The 21,631-nt window shown below is 43.6% G+C and overlaps 1 long non-coding RNA gene across 1 annotated transcript, besides 2 other annotated features; it reads left to right on the top strand.

Moving 5' to 3' along the window:
* Window positions 1-2,503: 2,503 nt before the first annotated feature.
* LINC03050 (long intergenic non-protein coding RNA 3050) lies at window positions 2,504-15,303 on the top strand. The gene is made up of 3 exons (NR_182288.2): window positions 2,504-3,712; window positions 13,832-13,964; window positions 15,050-15,303. It is a non-coding gene; the product is annotated as a long intergenic non-protein coding RNA 3050 (long non-coding RNA).
* Window positions 2,625-3,218: an enhancer, noted in NCBI's record as "H3K27ac hESC enhancer chr2:65828785-65829378 (GRCh37/hg19 assembly coordinates)". NCBI's record gives its function as "activates a minimal SCP1, AML or CMV promoter by ChIP-STARR-seq in primed H9 embryonic stem cells {active_cell/tissue: H9 hESC(primed)}" and the evidence as "EXISTENCE:reporter gene assay evidence [ECO:0000049][PMID:30033119]".
* Window positions 3,219-3,812: an enhancer, noted in NCBI's record as "H3K27ac hESC enhancer chr2:65828191-65828784 (GRCh37/hg19 assembly coordinates)". NCBI's record gives its function as "activates a minimal SCP1, AML or CMV promoter by ChIP-STARR-seq in primed H9 embryonic stem cells {active_cell/tissue: H9 hESC(primed)}" and the evidence as "EXISTENCE:reporter gene assay evidence [ECO:0000049][PMID:30033119]".
* Window positions 15,304-21,631: the final 6,328 nt, after the last annotated feature.

The following is a 21,631-nucleotide window of genomic DNA, read 5'->3' as shown; positions in this document are numbered from 1 at the left end:
AGTATTCATTGAATGCCTACTACATGAAAGATTTCAAGTTGAGGTCCAGAACTCATATGGACCCTGGCTTCCTTAACTAATGCTCGTATTGAACAGGTGAGTTTCAAGAGCTGATTGAGCTCTAACCACCTACAATCCATACATAAACATAATATAGTAAAACCCTGCTGCTCTGGAAAAATTGAGGCTGGGAATAGAGAAAGAGAGAGTTTGGACTAGTGGCCAGAAGAGACTATAAAATCCTTTTAAATAAATGCAGTTATATATTTTTCACACTCATGTAGTTATGCACACTGGGCTGTGACAGACACGGTTGGCATGACATACATGGGGGTATACCACCCTGATCCCCCAGCAGGGCAGGACCTTCTGCCCAGCTATGGGGAATGTAGCCTTCCAAATCTGCCTCAGCTGCAGAGAGCTGCCTCTCCCAGCAGCCCACATCTGATGAGTCATCTCCTAGGTATAAAGTCCTGGTCATTTCGACCCAATGCAGGATACAAGCAGGCAATACTTGCCCCGGAACCCTCCAAAGCCAAGAAATGGCCCAGACTTTTTCAGGCCTACCTTGCAGTTCAACTCCTTCCACTACCCAACCCCGCTTTCTCTCCCTTCCCTTCAAAGGAATTGAACCCTAATAACATTTTGCACCCCAAACTTGGCATCAGCATCTGCCTGTGGAGTACACACACTTCAGCAGTTGGCTATTATTGGATAGGCATGCACGTATGTACATGTGTGTGAGATTTTGGTCAGGGATCCACCTCTTGCCCACTTGACCCAGGAGTTGATTCATCTATAGCTCTAAGTAGTCAGTGTGAGCCCATTCACCTCCCTACTGACTGATTTAGGAAGCGATTGTGATCCAGTGCTGGCCAATGAGATGTGACAGAAGGTCAATGAAGGGGTTTCTGAGAAATCTTTCCATAATAATAAAAAGCAACACACAGGGAGAATTTTCTTCTGCTGGACAAGGTCATATCTATTTTGATGTCAGAAATCTGGCTGCTATCTTGGCACAAGGAGAAAGCACAAAGCTCATTGAGAAGGGCAAAATGGAAAGAATGGGAGACACTTGTATATCTTGGGATGTTGATTTTGGAACCAACCTGCAACTTACCCTATGCAAGATAACAAATTATCCAGAATGGCCTAAACCATTCTGACCTGTGCTTTCTGTAACTTGCATTCAAAGGCATCCTACCCAATGTACAGGCAAATCAAGCACAGCTTAGTAGAGATTCTTGTGGAGTCTTTTTTAATGACTATATTAAAAATCATAAATACCATGCCAATCTTTTGTATGTGAGGTAATTAAAAGTTTGTCATCACTGAGCAATTCTTGCCTTTGAAATCCCATTTTGCTTGTAGAATGTTAGAAGAATTTGCCAAGGAGAAACAAATCTTATCCCAATTCTCACTAATTGTTGATTGTCAAAGTATTTCAAGTCCAAGGTAGCAGCCTCATAGTTAAGGTTTCCTCCTGCAATCCACTCAATACGGCTGACCCAGCCTGCGTGTACAAGTTATGCCCTGCACGTCTGGTAGAACCTTGTGGTAGCATCTAACTCTTCCAGACTTCCAGGGGACCATTTCTAGGTATAAACCCAGAACTCATTGAATGATTTCCTAACAGCTACATTTCCAAAGGAAAACACAACAAAACTTGTTCATGACAGCCATTAAACTTCTTGTGGGCTAATAGAAAGCAAAATTCTAAATGGAAAGAAATGCAAATTTCGACACACAGAGCACATGTGTAGGTCAGAGGGGCAATTCACTTGTGATCTGGCTGGGCCAGCAGGGCTCCACTCCCCAGCTGGACCTAGGCAATCTGTCTTCTGTCTCCATCAGGTTGTGGCTTCCAGAACTTGGGCTCAGAGACGGTTCCCTATGCCAATTCCCCTTGGCAGGAAAGACACCTTCTGGCAACACCGTTGCTATTCCCAGTCCTTCACCCCTGCCAACCTCCTCATGTTTTATCTATTTTTATTTGAATTGGTGATCAAGGGATTAACCCAGTTTATACAAATTCCATCTTCCAAAAAGCCATTATGGTGCAGTTGCAATTGTGATATTTCACTCTCCAAATGAATCAAATTGGATTTTAATGACAGTAGACTCCATTAAGCAACACCTGATTGGGTTATTTCCTGGAAATTTCATCTTCATTGTTTTCTCCATCACTGCTACCAAAAAAAAAACACATAGCAGGAGAGCTATCAGGGGCTGCCGCCAAGCTACATTGGATCATCCTTGAAATCATGGTCATGTTTCCTTCTAACAAGTCGAATGTTTCAGTTTTACTCATTCATTCCATAGGACACCCTCAACCCAGTGTCAATTTCTACTAAAAAAAAGCGGGGGTAAGGTAAATTGTTTTTTGTAGGGGACTTGGTAGTTGTAGGGGACTATAATTCCTCACAAGAAACTCTCATGTGGGGTATATAATTTGTATGTAAATTTTTTTTTTCTTTTGAGACGGAGTTTCACTCTTGTTTTCCAGGCTGGAGTGCAACGGCACAATCTCGGCTCACCGCAACCTCCGCCTCCCGGGTTCAAGCGATTCTGCTGCCTCAGCCTCCTGAGTAGCTGGGATTACAGGCATGTGCCACCACGCCCGGCTAATTTTGTATTTTTAGTACAGATAGGGTTTCTCCATATTGGTCAGGCTGGTCTCGAACTCCCAACCTCAGGTGATCCGCATGCCTCAGCCTCCCAAAGTTCTGGGATTACAGGCATGAGCCACCGCACCCGGCCATTTGTATGTAATTTTCTATATTTATTGAAATGCATTTTAAGTAATATGAAAGCATTTTTCTCCTTACAATGGAAAAACCAACTTGATTTTACATTTATTTATATAACCTGACTTAATTCTATGTAAGTCAAGTGAAAAAGGAAACAACTGCTCTGTGGAATCAACCTGAAGATGTCTAATTTTTCCTCTGATGCCACCAGACTTAAAGCAGTTCACGATCCTCTCTACAAAGAAGTATATTTAGGTTCTCCCTCTCCCTCTCCCTCTCCCTCTCCCCACGGTCTCCCTCTGATGCCGAGCCGAAGCTGGACTGTACTGCTGCCATCTCGGCTCACTGCAGCCTCCCTGCCTGATTCTCCTGCCTCAGCCTGCCCAGTGCCTGCGATTGCAGGTGCGCGCCGCCACGCCTGACTGGTTTTCGTATTTTTTTGGTGGAGACGGGGTTTCGCTGTGTTGGCCAGGCTGGTCTCCAGCTCCTAACCGCGAGTGATCCGCCAGCCTTGGCCTCCCGAGGTGCCAGGATGGCAGACGGAGTCGCGTTCACTCAGTGCTCAATGGTGCCCAGGCTGGAGTGCAGTGGCATGATCTCGGCTCGCTACAACCTCCACCTCCCAGCTGCCTGCCTTGGCCCCCCAAAGTGCCGAGATTGCAGCCTCTGCCTGGCCACCACCCCGTCTGGGAAGTGAGGAGCGTCTCTGCCTGGCCGCCCATCGTCTGGGATGTGAGGAGCCTCTCTGACTGGCTGCCCAGTCTGGAAAGTGAGGAGCGTCTCTGCCCGGCCGCCATCCCATCTAGGAAGTGAGGAGCGTCTCTGCCAGGCCGCCCATCGTCTGAGATGTGGGGAGCGCCTCTGCCCTGCCGCCCCGTCTGGGATGTGAGGAGCGTCTCTGCCCGGCTGACCCGTCTGAGAAGTGAGGAGACCCTCTGCCTGGCAACCGCCCCGTCTGAGAAGTGAGGAGCGTCTCCGCCCAGCAGCCACCCTGTCCGGGAGGGAGGTGGGGGGGTCAGCCCCCCGCCCGGCCAGCCGCCCGTCCGGGAGGAAGGTGGGGGGGTCAGCCCCCCGCCTGGCCAGCCGCCCCGTCCGGGAGGGAGGTGGGGGGTCAGCCCCCCGCCCGGACAGCCGCCCCGTCCGGGAGGGAGGTGGGGGGGTCAGCCCCCCACCTGGCCAGCCGCCCCGTCCGGGAGGGAGGTGGGGGGGTCAGCCCCCCGCCCGGCCAGCCGCCCCGTCCGGGAGGGAGGTGGGGGGGCAGCCCCCCGCCCGGCCAGCCACCCCATCCGGGAGGTGAGGGGTGCCTCTGCCCGGCCGCCCCTACTGGGAAGTGAGGAGCCCCTCTGCCCGGCCAGCCGCCCCGTCCGGGAAGGAGGTGGGGGGGTCAGCCCCCCGCCCGGCCAGCCGCCCCGTCCGGGAGGGAGGTGGGGGGGTCAGCCCTCCACCTGGCCAGCCGCCCCGTCCGGGAGGGAGGTGGGGGGGTCAGCGCCCCGCCCGGCCAGCCGCCCCGTCCGGGAGGGAGGTGGGGGGTCAGCCCCCCGCCCGGCCAGCCACCCCATCCGGGAGGTGAGGGGTGCCTCTGCCCGGCCGCCCCTACTGGGAAGTGAGGAGCCCCTCTGCCCGGCCAGCCGCCCCGTCTGGGAGGTGTACTCAACAGCTCATTGAGAACGGGCCATGATGACAATGGCGGTTTTGTGGAATAGAAAGGGGGGAAAGGTGGGGAAAAGATTGAGAAATCGGATGGTTGCCGTGTCTGTGTAGAAAGAGGTAGACATGGGAGACTTTTCATTTTGTTCTGTACTAAGAAAAATTCTTCTGCCTTGGGATCCTGTTGATCTGTGACCTTACCCCCAACCCTGTGCTCTCTGAAACATGTGCTGTGTCCACTCAGGGTTGAATGGATTAAGGGTGGTGCAAGATGTCCTTTGTTAAACAGATGCTTGAAGGCAGCATGCTCGTTAAGAGTCATCACCACTCCCTAATCTCAAGTACCCAGGGACACAAACACTCTGCCTAGGAAAACCAGAGACCTTTGTTCACTTGTTTATCTGCTGACCTTCCCTCCACTATTGTCCTGTGACCCTGCCAAATCCCCCTCTGCGAGAAACACCCAAGAATGATCAATTTAAAAAAAAAAAAAAAAAAAAAAAGAAGTATATTTAGGATTTACCAGAGTGCAATAATACAAGTCCCTGAGGGCAAGGTCATGTTTGTCTTGCCCTCACTGTATTTCTAGGGCTGCGCAATGCCTGCCGTGGAATCAGTGATCAATACATCCTTGCTGAAAGAATGAATAGATGAAGGCCTGGGAATAACTGAGACGTGTCCACGCTATGGAAAAACTACCCTAATGTTGTCTCCAACCAGTCTGCTTTCTATTTCACCTTCGTAAACAGTGCCCATCATCAGAAGAGGAGAAAATGGTAAAAACCATCCTGCATAGATGATTTTATGTGCATAAGATTATCAGAATAGGAGAGGTGAGAAAAGCATTTTTAAAGATAGCAACTTTGTCTTTCACCCCTCTCTCAAATCTAAATACTCTGATTTTGTTTCTTCTCCAAATAAAATCTTTATAAAATGAAATTCAACAAATTACCACTTTTGATTATCCAGAACTTTTTATTCTTTCCTAAGAACTAGTCAAACCACAACTGAACCAGGAGATAGCAAAGATTTATATGACCCCTATCACCCACCAAAAGCAACATTTGGGCTTCATTCCTGGGTAGCAGATTTGAACTAATCTAATGCCAATTTGTGCTTATAAGGAAAAGTATTTACTGAGTATCTATAGTGTGTAATATCCTTCAAGTGATATAGAAGGCAAGAAATACAGGATAAAGACTTAGACTATTCAAGGAGCTTACAATTTAGCTGGGGAGCTAAGACACATGTGGAAATAACCATAAAACACCACAGTGATTGATTCAACAAAGCAAAGCATAAACACAGACAAGTTAACGGGCAGAAAATAAGTGTTACACTTTAGAAGATTGCATAATAAATCTCCCTCTTACTAAAGAGAGCAAACCAAAATGCAAAATATTTTAAGGAGAATTCTAAATAATAAATTACATATTTTAATGGGCAGTTACAAAATTATGTTATTTATCAAAAATGCTACATTAAGAATATTGGCCATGAAAAGATAGATTCCCAAATTTACAGGAAAGGAATTTTTGACCCCATGCTATTAGCTTTTTAAGAAGGTAATTTGCTTTTTTATATCAAGTAGCTCTTCATGGATTACTTCTATAACTTAAGTAATTTTTTTTAATATTTAGGGACAAAGCCTAATTTAGTTTTCTGATCTCCTCCTGAAGCCTATTTGGTATACTTTCTCAACAGTCTTCATGTTAATAGGGCATATTAAACTGAATTTGGACAAATGTTAAGAATGGAATATTTGAATTGAATAAGAATGGAATATAATAATAACCTTCTTATGCTTTGATAAGTGCCCATTCACGTACCGTAAGGCAAAGCACAACGAGTTGGAAAATAAATGAATTCTGACACATCAAAAGCATTTTCTTTCCTCTGATATTTTATCTGTTTGTGGATTTTGAAATACTGTAGAATATTATCATGAATTCCAAGTATAATTATGTGTTTCTAGAAAAGAGACATCATTATTTGATAGCATAAATGGCTTTGGTATGATATCTGATGTCATTTCCCCCACTCTGTTCTCGTAAGTCATCCTAATTGAACACTTGGAGGAAACTCAGGCCCTGTCCACATAGGCAAAATCAGAAATGGCATTAAAGCTATGATAGAACATCCTACTAAAGAATTACTTCTACATGATAATTAAATCAAAAACCAGACTTAAAGGTGGGGGACAAGCACTAATCTCATACTCTTTTCTCATAAAGAAAATGACATCACCCCAAAACACAAGGGTTTTGTCTTTCATAAGATGCAGAACAAAAGAAGGATCATGCTCACATCCTAATCTTCTTGATTTCACTCCAGATGGAAAATAGAGGCAGGAAACTCTGAGTATGACATCATATCAGGATAATACCAATTCACTCCTTCAACTAGAAGATTAATACACTCACACTGGGCAAAATATGGCATGTATCATTATCCCTGGGCACTGATTTTTGTTTAAACAACTATTCTACTTGGTTACTTACTAAATAGAGTTTGTAGAATTTTCTACATCTATTTACATCCATGCTGGCCTCCATGGCAGTGGGGAGCATACAAACGGCTAGAAAACAGGTGCCTCAGAAAGTTGTCATTTGCCTAGGCCTGTGACCAGTGAGCTAAAGGCTCAGGAATAATAAAAAGTGAAATTCTTCCATACCTGCTTCCTCCTTCCTGAACAGAAATGCCTCCTTCCTTAGGGAGAGTACCCAATGGCAGAGCTACCAGTAAAGGCCAAAGAGGGAGTTGAAATGTTTCCTCTCGGAGTTTGTGACGGTGCCACACTTAGTTCTCTGTCACAATTCATGAGGACTCCTGGACTGAAGGAGACTGCTAATGGAGATCCAGTTGCTTATGGATGCAAACAATCACTCCACAGTAGAATATATTCAGAGTACCTCCATCCACCTGGATTCTAAAGCATCCACATCCTTTTTGCAATTAAAACTCCACACTCTCTGGAAAGATTAGGATCCACACACAAAGAGAGGTAGGCAAGGCAGACCAAAATGGTATTCTACAAGCAATGACAGTGCCAAAATATGACATAAAACACTATGTGATGCATTCCACAAAACTAGATATCAGAAGGTCATACTCTGGCCACTCTTGCCTACCCACCTCAAGAACTAGAAGGGTTTCAGAAAAGATCTCTAGTACCCTCTGAGTCCCTTTAGACCTAGATGATTTGGGAGTTTACTGTTAAGAGACGTAGCCATTGAGATCAAGGCACTGCATGCACGGGTGCGCGTGCATATATACACATGTATAGTGGCTGCCTTAGACAGCCCAACAGGAAAAGAATCTGAGGACCTATGCACAGCTTTGAGTCACAGAGTCTGTGGAAGAAACACAGCAGAGAATTTTGTATAGCACAAAATTTACTGCCCAGGCCCAAGAGGAGTCAAACAAAGAGCTTTCTCAAAAAGGGAAGCTATGAAGAGAGGAGAAGAGGGGATGACACTGGAAGAGCCCAACCGTCTAAGGTAAATTAAAATAGCCATAACTTCAAAAGAGGAGCCCCTTTCTACTTGGATTAAAGAGAAGAAAGCAGAGGGAATGGATCATTAGATCAAAGAAGCATGGTGACTTCTAGTGCCAGCCAAGATGGAGTAAACTGCATCATAGCCTATCCTTCCCACTAATTACAATTCAAAATTCTCATGGAGCACAAAAAGCAACTACCTGAGGACTCTGAAAGGTAAACAATGGCAGACAGCTCAAAGAGGAAAGTCAAAACTTGTAGAGTTTTTGGTACAACAATGAGTTTCCTTCTTTATCTTCCTGCATTAACCCAAAGGGGACCAAATTATGGAACTGTGAAGCAGGCATAAACAGCAAAACTCCAAGAGAAATCCCCATTTTCTGACCAGATGACTGGGATACTCTCTGGGCCTGAGAGTATGGGGGAAATAACCATTTATTTATTTGTTTGTTTATTTATTTATTTATTTTTCTCTCCAGCCCTGACCTAAGGCCAGTCCCAGTTTTTGAGCTGCACTGCCACCACTACACAGACATCTAAAACCCCAAGAGAAAAGCCTGTCTCTCTGGCCACAGGAAAAGGGGGTCCCTGTGCTCCAAAAAGTGTGGAGGGAATCCCTGTTATTTGTTCTCTCTCTTTTCTCTCACTACTTTGAACTTGAGGGCAGCCCCAGTTGTGCAGAATTATGTGAGAGAATGGGGGGAATGGGTTAACACTGAGAGAAATCCATCTTTCTGGCCAGAAAAATAGGGAAGAGAAGGCTCTGGAAAGCTGAAGAGTCTGGGGACAATCATAGAGAACAGAGAGTTGGAGGAAGGGATCCCCTAATTCTATGTCTGCACCAATACCAGTCTGAGGTGCACATATGTGAAACAGACTCAAAGAAGTATGTCAAAGACTTTGAGAGCCAGCCAAGCACCAGACTAATCCCTAAGTGGCACATGTTCAGAGAAGACCCAACAGCATAACAAATCTGTGGAAAACTGAACTGATATTGGATTCACTGCCCACAGAATGTGGGCCAGAACTCCCAGTCTGAACCTAATGGGGTTGGTTATCTGCCCAAAAGCAAAGAAAAGTAATCAATATTCTCCAGAGGATTTCAACAGGACTCACAGTCATGAAACATAATACTCAAAATATCCAGGATACAATCCAAAATTGCTCAACATGATAAAAACAGGAAAATCTGATCAAATCTCAAGGAAAAAGACAATCAACAGATGCCATTCCCAAGATGACTCAGGTGTTGGAACTACAACATAATGACTTTAAAACAGCTACTATAACCATGCTACATAATCATACCATAAAAGTAAATACTATTGGAATGAATAAAAAGACATTCTTAGCAGAGAAATATAAACTTTTTTAAAAAGAACCAAGTGGAAATTTTTGATCTGAAAAATACAATACAGAAAGTTTAAAAATTCACTGAACCTTCCCCTTCAAAAAACAAAAATAAAAAATAAATTCAATAAATAAATAAATAAATAATTCACTGAATGAGCTCAATAGAGAATGGAAATGACATAGAAAAGAGTCAGTTGGCCAGGTCAGTTGGCCTGTAATCCCAACACTTTGGGAAGCTAAAGCAGGAGGATCTCTTGAGGACAGGAGTTCAAGACCAGCCTGGCCAACATGGCAAAAGCCCGTCTCTACTAAAATTATAAAAATTAGCTGGACATGGTGGTGTGCCCCTGTAGTCCCAGCTACTGGGCTGGCTGAGGCATGAGAATTGCTTGAACCTGGGAGGCAGAGGTTGCAGTGAGCCAAGATGGTGCCGCTGCACTTCAGCCTGGGCAAGAGAGCATGACTCTGTGTCAAAAAAACAAAAACAAAAAAAAAAAAAAAAAAACAGAAAAGAGTCAGTAAACTTTTAGATAAATCAATGGAAATTATCCAGTCTAAAGAATAGAGAGGGCCAGGCACGGTAGCTCACGCCCGTAATCCCAACGTTTTGGGAGGGCTGAGGCAGGCGGAGCACCTGAGGTCGGGAGTTTGAGACCAGCCTGACCAACATGGAGAAACCCCGTCTCTACTAAAAATACAAAATTAGTTGGGCATGGTGGTGCATGCCTGTGATCCCAGCTACTTAGGAGGCTGAGGCAATAGAATTGCTTGAACCTGGGAGGCGGAGGTTGCAGTGAGCCAAGATCGCGCCATTGTACTCCAGCCTGGGCAACAAGAGAAAAACTCCATCTCAAAAAGAAAAAAAAAAAGAAAACAAGATTGAAAAAAAAGAACAAAGTCTCAGGAACCTACAAGACAATATAAAGAAGCTTAATATTCACTACATTTGGGTCCCAGAAGAGGAGAAAAAGATTAATACAGAAAAAAACTGAATAAATAATGGCTGAAATTTTTCCAAATTTGGTAAAAGACATAAATTACAAATTTATGCTCGGATGAATCCCAAACAGGATTAACTCAAATAAAAACACCCAACACATCCTGATCAAAGTGCTGGAAAAAATAAAAATAAAAATAAAGAAAATGTCTTGAAAGCAGCCAGAGAAAAATAACAGATTATATCTAGGGAACAAACATCTGCAGATTTCTCCCCAAAAGAAGTGGAACTTCTTTAAAGTACTGAAAGAAAAGAACTGTCAACAGATAATTCTATAGTCAGCAATAATATCCTTCAAGAATGGAAGAAAATAAAGACATTTTTGGATTAAGGAAAACTAATATAATTCATTGCCAGCAGACTTGCTCTGAAAGAAATGCTAGAGAAACACAAAAAGCTGAAGAAAAGTGATACCAGATGATATTGCTTTGCAAGTACCTGAGACTTTGTTCTTTTTTGTCAATCTTGTTTTCTCTCCATTCTTCAGACTGGATCATTTCCACGGATTTATCTAAAAGTATACTGACTCCTTTCTATGTCATCTCCATTCTCTATTGAGTTCATGTAGTGAATATTTTAACTCCATATATTGTATTTTTCAGATCAAAAATTTCCAGTTGGTTCTTTTTAATAAAAATTTATGTTATTATTGACTACACAAATAAAAGCAATAAAATAATAAATGTCTGGGTAAACATAATGGACTACTTTTTCCTCTTAAATTCATTGAAATATTTATAACTATTTACAAAAATTAGAACAGTGTTTAGTAGGGTTTTCAATATGCACAGATACAATACCTATGGCAACTGTAATGTTAAGGTGGTGAGGGTAAAAGGAACAAATAGCTAAGATAAACAGAAAAAGAAAAGGCTAAACACTTAGTCAATCACATAAAATATAAATGGTTTAAATATGCCAATTCGGAGATAAAGATTTTCAGATTAGATTTTTTTAAAAAAAGCAGCATATGCTATCTACAAAATAATATTTAAATATAACTATATAGATGGGTTAAGGATAAAATTATGAAAAATATATGCCATGCAATGCAACTATTAATTTTAAAAAGTTGAGGCCGGATGTAGTGCCTCTTTCCTATAATTCCAGCTTTGGGAGGCCAAAACATGGGGATTGCTTGAGGCCAAAAGGTTGAGAACAGGCTGGGAAACATAGTGAGACCCTATCTTTACATAAAAAAAAAAAAAAAATTAGCCAGGCATAGTGGCATATGCCAGTAGTTCCAGATACTCAGGAGGTTACTGAGGTGGAAGGATTGCTTGAGCTCAGGAGTTCAAGGTTACAGTGAGCTATGATTATGATACTGCACTCCAGCCTGAGTGACAGAGTAAGACCCTGTATGAACAAACAAACAAATATATAAATAAATAAACAGCTGGAGTGGCTACACTAGTATCAGAAAAATTCAACTTCAAAACAGGAAATTCACAGAGATAAAGAGACATGGTATAATGATAATAGGGCCAATTCACTGAGAAGACATAACAATTCTAAATGTGTATATACCTAATAACAGTCTGAAAATACATGAAACAAAACCTGATAGAAAAGCAAATATATACCAAAGAAGATAACTGGATACCAAATAAGCACATGAAAACGTGCTCAACATCAGTCAATAGGAAAATGCAAATATCAAAACCACAGTGAGGAATTACACACCTATTAGAATGCTCCTCCAACCAAAATATGAGAGTGCCAAGTACTGGGAAGGATATGGAGCAACTGGAACTCTCATACATTGCTGGCAGGAATGCAAAATGGCACAGCCACTTTGGAAGAGAGTTTGGCATTTCCTTATAAAATCAAATATATACTTACTATATGACTCAACAGTCCCATTCATAGGTGTGTATCCTAGAAAAATGAAGGCTTGTGGTGACACAAAAATCTTTACATGAATGTTCATAGAAGCTTATAATAACTGAAAACTATAAACAACCCAAATATCCTTTAGCTGGTATATTCAACAAATTGTGATACATGCACATGATGGAATACTACTCAACAATAAAAAAGAACAGACTATTGATGAATCTGAAATCCATTCACCTAAGCTAAAGAAGCCAGACTGAGCCAGGTGCAGTGGCTCACGCCTATGATCCCAGCACTTTGGGAGGCTGAGGCGGGTGGATCACCTGAGGTCAGGAGTTCGAGACCAGCCTGACCAACAAGGTGAAACTCCATCTCTGCTAAAAATATAAAAATTAGCCAGGCGTGGTGGCAGGGGCCTATAGTCCCAGCTACTCAGGAGGCTGAGACAGGAGAATAGCTTGTATCTGGGAGGCAGAGGTTGCAGGGAGTTGAGATCGCGCCACTGCACTCCAGCCTAGGTGACAGAGCAAGACTCCTTCTCAAAAAAAAAAAAAAAAGCCAGACCCAAAAGGCAATATACTGTATGATGCCATTTAGATTTCAACATCCTGGAAAAGGCAAAAATCATAGTGTCAAAGAACAGATCAGAGGTTGCGTTGGGTAAAGAATGGGAGAGGAATTGACTTCAAAGGGACAGCATGAGGTTTCGGGGGTGATAGAACCATCACCAGCATTCCCATTGTTAGCTATGACCCTGAACCTCAGCTCCTGGCCCATGTCATGATTATGATCAGGGTTATATGACTCTATGCATTTGTCAAAAACTCACTGAATTGAATACCAAAGGAATTAACTCTTACTATATGGAAATTTTAGAATAAATTTTGTTTTTTTTTTTTTTAAAAAAAAGCAGTGTGGTCAGAGTCTATCAGGATCTAAAGCAGTGGTTTTAAAGTCTGAAATCACCTGGGAACCTCAGACAAATTAAATAAGAATCTCTGAGGGGGCCAGGCACAGTGGCTCACACCTGTAATCCCAGCACTTTGGGAGGCCGAATCAGGTGGAGCCCAGGAGTTTGAAACCAGCCTGGGCAACATGGCAAAACCCCATCTCTACCAAAACTACAAAAATTAGCCAGTTTCGTAACCCAGTCTCTAATAAATAAATAGAAATTTTAAAAAAGAATCTCTGAGGGTAGGACTCAGGCATCAGTAGTTTAAAAAAAAACACAGGCTATTAAAATACACAATAAATATGGAGAAACACAGCCAAAGTGTGGGCTTGGCACCACAGCATGGGCATCACATGAAAACATGTTAGAGATGCAGATTCTTAGACCCCAGCCCAGCCCTGTTGTATCTAAAACTCTGGGGATGGGCCCCTGGGATCTGTGTTTTAACAAGCCTTCTGGGTGGTTCTGACTCTTACTTAAGTTTGAGATCTACACCTATGTTGCCTTCAATGTTATGAAAATCCACCACTTGGGTGACCCTGGCTACTGGCCTCTTCCTTCCCACTGGGGTCCTTGGTCTGCCATCTAATAGGCCAGCCCTGTCTCAGTACCCTAGTCTAAGCTTAATCTTGGACATGAGAAACTGAAGAGGCCAACGTAGTGGACACTCACCAGCATTCCTGTTATAGCTATGACCTTGAACCTCAGCTCCTGGCCCATGTCTTGTTCACTCTTTCTGAACCTCTATTGGTAATGTAAATTCTCTCTAGGATTAAAACCTTGCCTTGTTTTTCCAGCCCAAAGACTAGAATTCCATTTCTAAACCCAGCCCAGCAGCCGGAAGTCATGAAGCAGTCAACCTGCCTGGACATCCAGCTACGCTCTGCTGCGCCATTCTATCCACCCATCAAGACTCCCCTCCCTTCTACTGTATGTCACCATAAGTTTTCGTGCCTGTTCTGCATGCTCAATTGAACTTCCCTCTATCAGGTCACTCAAGCCATTCTCCTGTTCCCACTCTAACCTGCTTTGGAATCTATGGCTGCCTAATGACACTTACAAACAAGTACATTCAAGGTCAAACATCCTCAGGTCAAATTCGTGGCAAGAGGGATGATCTTTTAAACCTACATTTTTGGGCCGGGTGAGGTGGATCACACCTGTAATCCCAGCACTTTGGGAGACTGAGGGGGCAGATCACCTGAGATCAGGAGTTTGAGACCAGCCTGGCCCACATGGCAAAATCCCATCTCTACTAAAAATGTTTAAAAAAAAAAAATAGCCAGGCTTGGTGGCACACACCTGTAGTCCCAACTACTCAAGAGGCTGAGACCGGAGAATCGCTTGAACCTGGAAGGCAGAGGTTGCAGTGGACCGAGATCGCACCACTGCACTCCAGCCTGGGCAACAGAGCAAGACTCCATCTCAGGGAGGGAAAAAAAAACTTACATTCCCTCCACCTCTCCCTCTCTTTGTTTTAATGAAGCATCAGTAACTTCAGCTGTTATGATAAATTGAAATAGCTGCAAATCAGCAAAACTCATGTTTGATGGGTTATCTTCTATCAAAGAGTGAGAGATGCCTTGCCCTGATCATTCCTATTGCTAACATAAATTCCATTGAGTTCTTAGGCCTAAGAGGAAAGAAAGTAAAGAGAAGAAGAATGGACTGCACAATGAAGCTATCAGATCAGCCCACGTTGGGATGGGGTCAATAGATGCAAAATGAACACCATTCTTCAAAGTAATCATCTAACAGCATGGTAAACATCTACTGACCCCTTAGCAATAACAACTGATTTAACACATTCCGATGGTTCTATTTGGCAGGGAGGAATGGGAGACATTTATCTCTTCGGGATGGATAATTGCACTTGGCTGTTCTTTCCTTTCCATTCTCATTGTCACTAACCTGATCCAGAACCTTAGCACTACCCACCTAAGGAATGTTGCAGCAGCCCAGGATGACTGCTGGCTATGTGCTTTCCCATTCTAATGCACCCTACTCTATCCTAGGATAACCCTCCTAAAAGCCAACTGGGATTGAATTACTCCTCTGCCAAGAACCCTCTGCTGCACCTTATCCAAGGCCCACCATAAAATGATGCCAGCCCACCTCACCCAAAACCTCTTCCAGAAAGTCCCAGCTCCACCCTGGTTCTCTCCTCCACAGATGTCAGACCTGTATGTGGTCTGATGGCTCTCTCAGCCTCCTTCATTCTCTCCCCATTTCTGCCACATTTTCCCCAATAAATCTTGTGTGTGTCTAATTCCATTTTGGTGTCTGCATCTCAGATGATCTGAACTAACACAAATGGAGAGTGAAAAACAAAAAAAAAAGTCTGGCCACATTTATAAATTCATCCCAGGCTGCAAAGAGTTAGACAGCACTTCCCCAAAGAAAACTGTCACGTAAAACATTCAAAGATTCTCAGTTTAGCCATCATCTAGCCAGTTCTTCCCACTGATCACATTTTCCCAATTTATAGATAGGAATACTGAGCCTCAAGAGGTTAAGTAAATCGCCTGAAGATTATACAGCTAGTAAATGATGAAATCAGGGCTCTTGACTCAAAGTCCCAGTGTCATCCAACTACACTTGAGTGGGCTTGAAACGAATCCTAAGAGTTTTGTAAATGGTATATCATTATCTAACATAAGGTACTATGAACCACTGCCATCATCATCCTCATTTCTCTCTGAGGATCTTTGCAGTAAAGTGAAGGTAGTAGTAGATCTGTCATACTGAATGTTGAAGTCAGAATAATGGCTCCCCAAAGATGCCCAAACCCTAACCCCAAACCCTGTGATTATATAACCTTACATAGCAAAATGGACTTTGCAGATGTGATTAAGTTTAGGATTCTGAGATAGAGAGATGACCCTGGATTATTCCAGGGTCCCAGTGTAGTCACAAGTGTCCTTATGAGAGGAAAGCAGGAGCACCAGAGTCAAAAGAGATACAAGGCTAGAGGGTGAGAGGGAGCCCTGAAGATGCCACTCTGCTGCTTTGAAGATAGAAGGGGCTACAAGCCAAGGAACACAGGCAGCCTCTAAAAGCTGGAAAAGTTGCTGGGCGTGGTGGCTCATGCCTGTAATCCCAGCACTTTGGGAGGCCAAGGCGGGTGGATCACGAGGTCAGGAGATGGAGACCATCCTGGCTAACAAGGTGAAACCCCGTCTCTACTAAAAATACAAAAATTAGCCAGGCATGGTGGCAGGCACCTGTAGTCCCAGCTACTCGGGAGGCTGAGGCAGAAGAATGGCGTGAACCCAGGAGGCGGAGCTTGCAGTGAGCTGAGATCGTGCCACTACACTCCAGCCTGGGTGACAGAGTGAGACTCCGTCCCTTACAAAAAAAAAAAAAGCTGGAAAAGTCTAGGAAGCAGATTCTTCCATAGAGCCTCTGGAAAAAATGCAGCCCCACTGACACCTTAATTTTAGGATTTTTAACCTCCAGAATTGTAAGAGAATAAACCTGTGGCTGGGGCAGTGGCTCATGTCTGAAGTCCCAGCACTTTAGATGGCCAAGGGAGGAGGATCCCTTGAGGCCAGGAGTTTGACACTAGCCTGGGCAACATGGCCAGACTCCATCCTACAAAAAAAATTTTTGTAATTAGCTTGACATAGTTGTTCACACCTGTAGTACTGTCTACTTAGGAGGCTGCGATGGGAGGATCCCTTGAGCCCAGGAGTTTGAGGCTGTAGTAAGCTATGACTGCACCACTGTACTTCAGCCTGTGTGACAGAACAAGACCTTGTCTCTAAAAAAAAATAAATTAAAACTTTAATAAATTTGTGTTGCTTTAAGCCACTATGTTTATGGTCATTTGTTACAGCAGCAGCAGGAACCTAATACACTGAATACTCTAGACACATACCTCTCACTCACCCAAAAGACACATGCACTCACACGCACACACACACACACACACACATATGCAGATCGCTGGAGACTGTCCATCTCAGCTCCCCAAACCCTAAGTCTTACTTTAGCCTCTACATGGACATCAAGCCTCACAGTTCTTGCAAGTGTCCACCCCACCCGCTCCTCTCAGAGCTGCCTCAGATCCCCTTAAAGACTCTCTCCCAGTCTTCAGTTTTTGTGGCTCTCATTCACTTACCAGTGGAGCTATTCTTTTTATTAAGCAATTAACAGAAAAAGTCCAGATTTCCCTAAGCCAAGCCTGGGAGTGACTATGCAAGAGAGGGGTCTTTTATGTGAGATGTAAAATACATTATATCAAGACCTGGAAAAAGCACAACTCCCTTAAAAATAAATATACAAATAAACGGGGACTTCCTCCAAGGAAGCTTGCAGGAAGCTTAATATAAAAGTAGACCACCCACAGTAACTTTCTGAGCCAGTTATTTGGAGAACCCCCAAAAGAAAAAAAGGATTCCTTCCGGGTGCGGTGGCTCACGCCTGTAATCCCAGCACTTTGGGAGGCCGAGGCGGGTGGATCACAAGGTCAGGAGATCGAGACCATCCTGGCTAACACGGTGAAACCCCATCTCTACTAAAAATACAAAAAATTAGCCAGGCATGGTGGCGGGCGTCTGTAGTCCCAGCTACTTAATAGGCTGAGGCAGGAGAATGGCGTGAACCCGGGAGGCAGAGCTTTTAGTGAGCTGAGATGGTGCCACTGCACTCCAGCCTAGGCAACAGAGCAAGACTCCGTCTCAAAATAAATAAATAAATAAATAAATAAATAAATAAATAAATAAATAAAGATAAAAAGGATTCCTGGCCTCTTGGAATCCATCCCCTGCCTTTGGGAAGCTTCAGGGTTCAAGTACACCAGGACTATGTCTGATGGCTTCTCTTGGACTTAATGAGGAGGACAGAGGCACTGATACAGGATATTCTGGATTTAGTAAATATCCCTGAAACCTGTAGACATAACAGAAACTAAAGGATAGCCCACAAAATCCCAAGGACATTTCAAAAAGCCTGGCTTGAAGGCCCCAGTGACAATGCAGTAACTAATTTGGAGGGTCACTGGAGTTAACAGTGACAGATCTGTGAAAACACAATCTCAACGAAGTGTCGACTGCCCTCTTTCCACTGCCTGGTGCCCATTAATCTCTGTGTGGTTAGTGCTGATAATTGTTAGGAAAAGGAGAAAATAGATTGATGATAGCCCTTGCAACTCCCAGCCTGGGATCTGACCACGGAATTCACCCCTGAGCAGCAATCATGGAATCTACTGTTTTACGCAGTTGAACAAATGAACTTATAGACTGTCTGAGCACAGGATCTTTAGTTAATACCTCATTGGAGAATTAACATTTAAACTTCTTATCACATCCTAAGTGGATTATCAATTTAAATCAGAGATATGGAGAATTACGCAAGTAGTGTTTGTATGTTCAGTGCTAGCTTAAAAATTTCAAGGATTCTTTTACACAGCCAAAGGAAAATAAAAATGATTCTGAAACAGAAATTATTTGGGCCAGGCAACCTGGCTCACGCCTGTAATCCCAACACTTTGGGAGGCCAAGGCGGGCAGATCACCTGAGGTCAGGAGTTCGAGACCAGCCTGGCCAACATGGTGAAAACTCATCTCTACTAAAAATACAAAAAAAAAAAAAAAAAATTAGCTGGGCGTGGTAGCATGCACCTGTAATCCCAGCTACTCAGGAGGCTGAGACAGGAGAATCGCTTGAACCTGGGAGGCAGAGGTTGCAGTGAGCTGAGATCATGCCACTGCACTCCTGGGTGACAGAGTGAGACTGTGTCTCACACACACACACACAAAAATCATTCAGTGAGCAAAGGTACAGAGTATTTAGAAAAAGCATATTGCCCCACACTTAGACTTTCGCAGAGATCTGATAGTCTCTTTAAAAAAATGAAAGACCCTGGCCAGGCGCAGTGGCTCACGACTGTAATCCCAGCACTTTAGGAGGCCAAGGAGAGCGGATCACAAGGTCGGCAGATTGAGACCATCCTGGCTAACACGGTGAAACCCCATCTCTACTAAAAATACAAAAAATTAGCCAGGCGTGGTGGCGGGTGCCTGTAGTCCCAGCTACTAGGGAGGCTGAGGCAGGAGAATGGCATGAACCCAGGAGGCAGAGCTTGCCATGAGCCGAGATCGTACCACTGTACTCCAGTCTGAGCAACAGAGCGAGACTCTGTCTCAAAAAAAAAATGAAAGACCCTGCAGACAAAATATCAAAGATAAGAACCATGAACAATAAAATTAATAGGAATGATCATTAAAATTTTTTTAATTTTGTAGGTCAAAGATATTGAATAATATTAAAATATAAACCACAAATGAGATAAATAACTGCAACATATTTGACAAAAATAGGTTGATGTCCCAACAAAGACCTCTTTACTCAATAGGAAAAAGGCACACCACTAAAAATGTAAGCAAATAAGACAAAAGAAGGAAAATATATGATAAATATATGAATATAAAGTAATATCCAACCTTATTTAACCAAAAGGTACACATTAAAACAATAAGTTTTTCCCACCAAGTAAGACTTTTTAAATGAGTAGAAATTTGGCCAGGCACGGTGGCTCACGTCTGTAATCCCAACACTTTGGGAGGCCGAGGTGGGCGGATCATTTGAGGTCAGGAGTTCGAGACCAGCCTGGCCAACATAGCAAAACCCCGTCTCTACTAAAAATACAAAAATTAGCCAGGCATGGTGGCGCACACCTGTAATCCCAGCTACTGGGGAGGCTGAGACATGGGAAATGTTTAAACCCAGAGGCAGAGATTGCAGTGAGCCAAGATCATGCCACGCTCATGCGTGGGCGACAGAGCCAGACTATGTCTCAAAAAAATGAAATAAAATAAAATGAGCAGAAATTCCCTTTAGTTGCAATCTCTGCTTTCTGTAAAAAAAAAAAAAAAAAAAAAAAAAAAGGGAGGAACTACAAAACCTGTTCTTTGTATTGTTTAAGGAGCCCTTCCATACTTGTTTGGTTTTTTTTTTTTTGAGATGTAGTCTTGCTCTGTTGCCCAGGTTGGAGTGCAGTGGCGCGATCTCAGCTCACTGCAAGCTCCACCTCCCGGATTCACGCCATTCTCCTGCCTCAGCCACCCGAGTAGCTGGGACTACAGGCGCCCACTACCACGCCCAGCTAATTTTTTGTATTTTTAGTAGAGACGGGGTTTCACTGTGTTAGCCAGGATGGTCTCGATCTCCTGACCTCGTGATCCGCCCACCTCAGCCTCCCAAAGTGCTCGGATTACAGGCTTGAGCCACCGCGCCCAGCCTACTTGTTTGGTTTTTATCCTGGGATGTTTTCATCATCCATTTTCTACCTAACTATGTAGGTCAGGCCTTCTCTAAATAGAAAGGGGTGGTTTTTCAGAAAAAAATAAACAAATAAAGTTAAATCAGATCAAGATAAATAAAATAAAAATAAAATGGGCAGAAACCTTCTCACACACCACCAGTAAAAATGTAATTTAGGCCGGGTGCAGTGGCTCACGCCTGTAATTCCAGCACTTTGGGAAGCTGAGACGGGTAGATCACCTGAGGTCAAGAGTTTGAGACCAGCCTGGGCAACATGGTGAAACCCTGTTTCTACTAAAAATACAAAAATTAGCCGGGCGTGGTGGCACACACCTATAATCCCAGCTACTCGGGCGGACGAGATGGGAGAATCGCTTGAACCCAGGAGGCGAAGGTTGCAGTGAGCTGAGATCATGCCACTGCACTCCAGCACTCCAGCCTGGGTGACAGAGCAAGACTCTGTCTCAAAACACACACACACACACACACACACACACACACACACACACACACACACATAATTTAACACAATGCTTCTGCCACAAAAAAAAATGGAAAATACATCTTGAAACCTTAAAATTCCTTTTTGCTGAAGATTTCAAAAGGAAAATAAAAAAAAAATTCCTTTGACTCACTAATCACTTCTAGAGCTGGGTGCAATAGCTTACACCTGTAGTTCTAGCTACTCAGGAAGCTGAGGCAGGAGGATCACTTGAGGCCAGGAGTTCAAGGCCACAGTGAACTATGATTATGCCACTGCAATGCAGTCTGGCCAACGGAGGGAAACCCTGTTTCTAAAATTTTAAAAATAATAAAAAATAAAAATCACTTCTAGCACTAGTCATCTCACTGCTATGTATATTCTAAGGAAATCATTGGGAATGTGGGCAAAGAGAAGAACAGCATTTATAATGGTGAAAAACTGGGAAGTTCCTACATATTCAAAACTAGAGATTATTTAACAAATTATGAGCCAGCCACGGTGGCTTACGCCTGTAATCCCAGCACTTTGGGAAGCCAAGATGGGAAGATCTCTTGAGGTCAGCAGTTGGAGACCAGCCTGGCCAACATGGTGAAACCCCGTCTCTACTAAAAACATCCTTTCTCATGGAAACGAGTGGTGAGGATGTTCCAAAAACTCTCCTGGTTTCTCTCCATCGCTTTTAACTCACTCCACATCGGGGAGGAGAAACGGCTTACCTGGTGGTAAATGTGGGAAGAATAAACAAGGCATCCCGGGCTCACTCCCCACTCCTTACTCCTGGGAGCGATCTGGCTGCTGTCCCTGCTGTTCTCTGCTGTTCCTCCGGGTGAGGATCACACCCAGTACGG

This window comes from Homo sapiens, chromosome 2 (assembly GCF_000001405.40).
Source record: "Homo sapiens chromosome 2, GRCh38.p14 Primary Assembly".
Lineage (NCBI taxonomy): Eukaryota > Metazoa > Chordata > Mammalia > Primates > Hominidae > Homo > Homo sapiens.
This window is presented reverse-complemented; position numbering and strand designations above follow the sequence as displayed.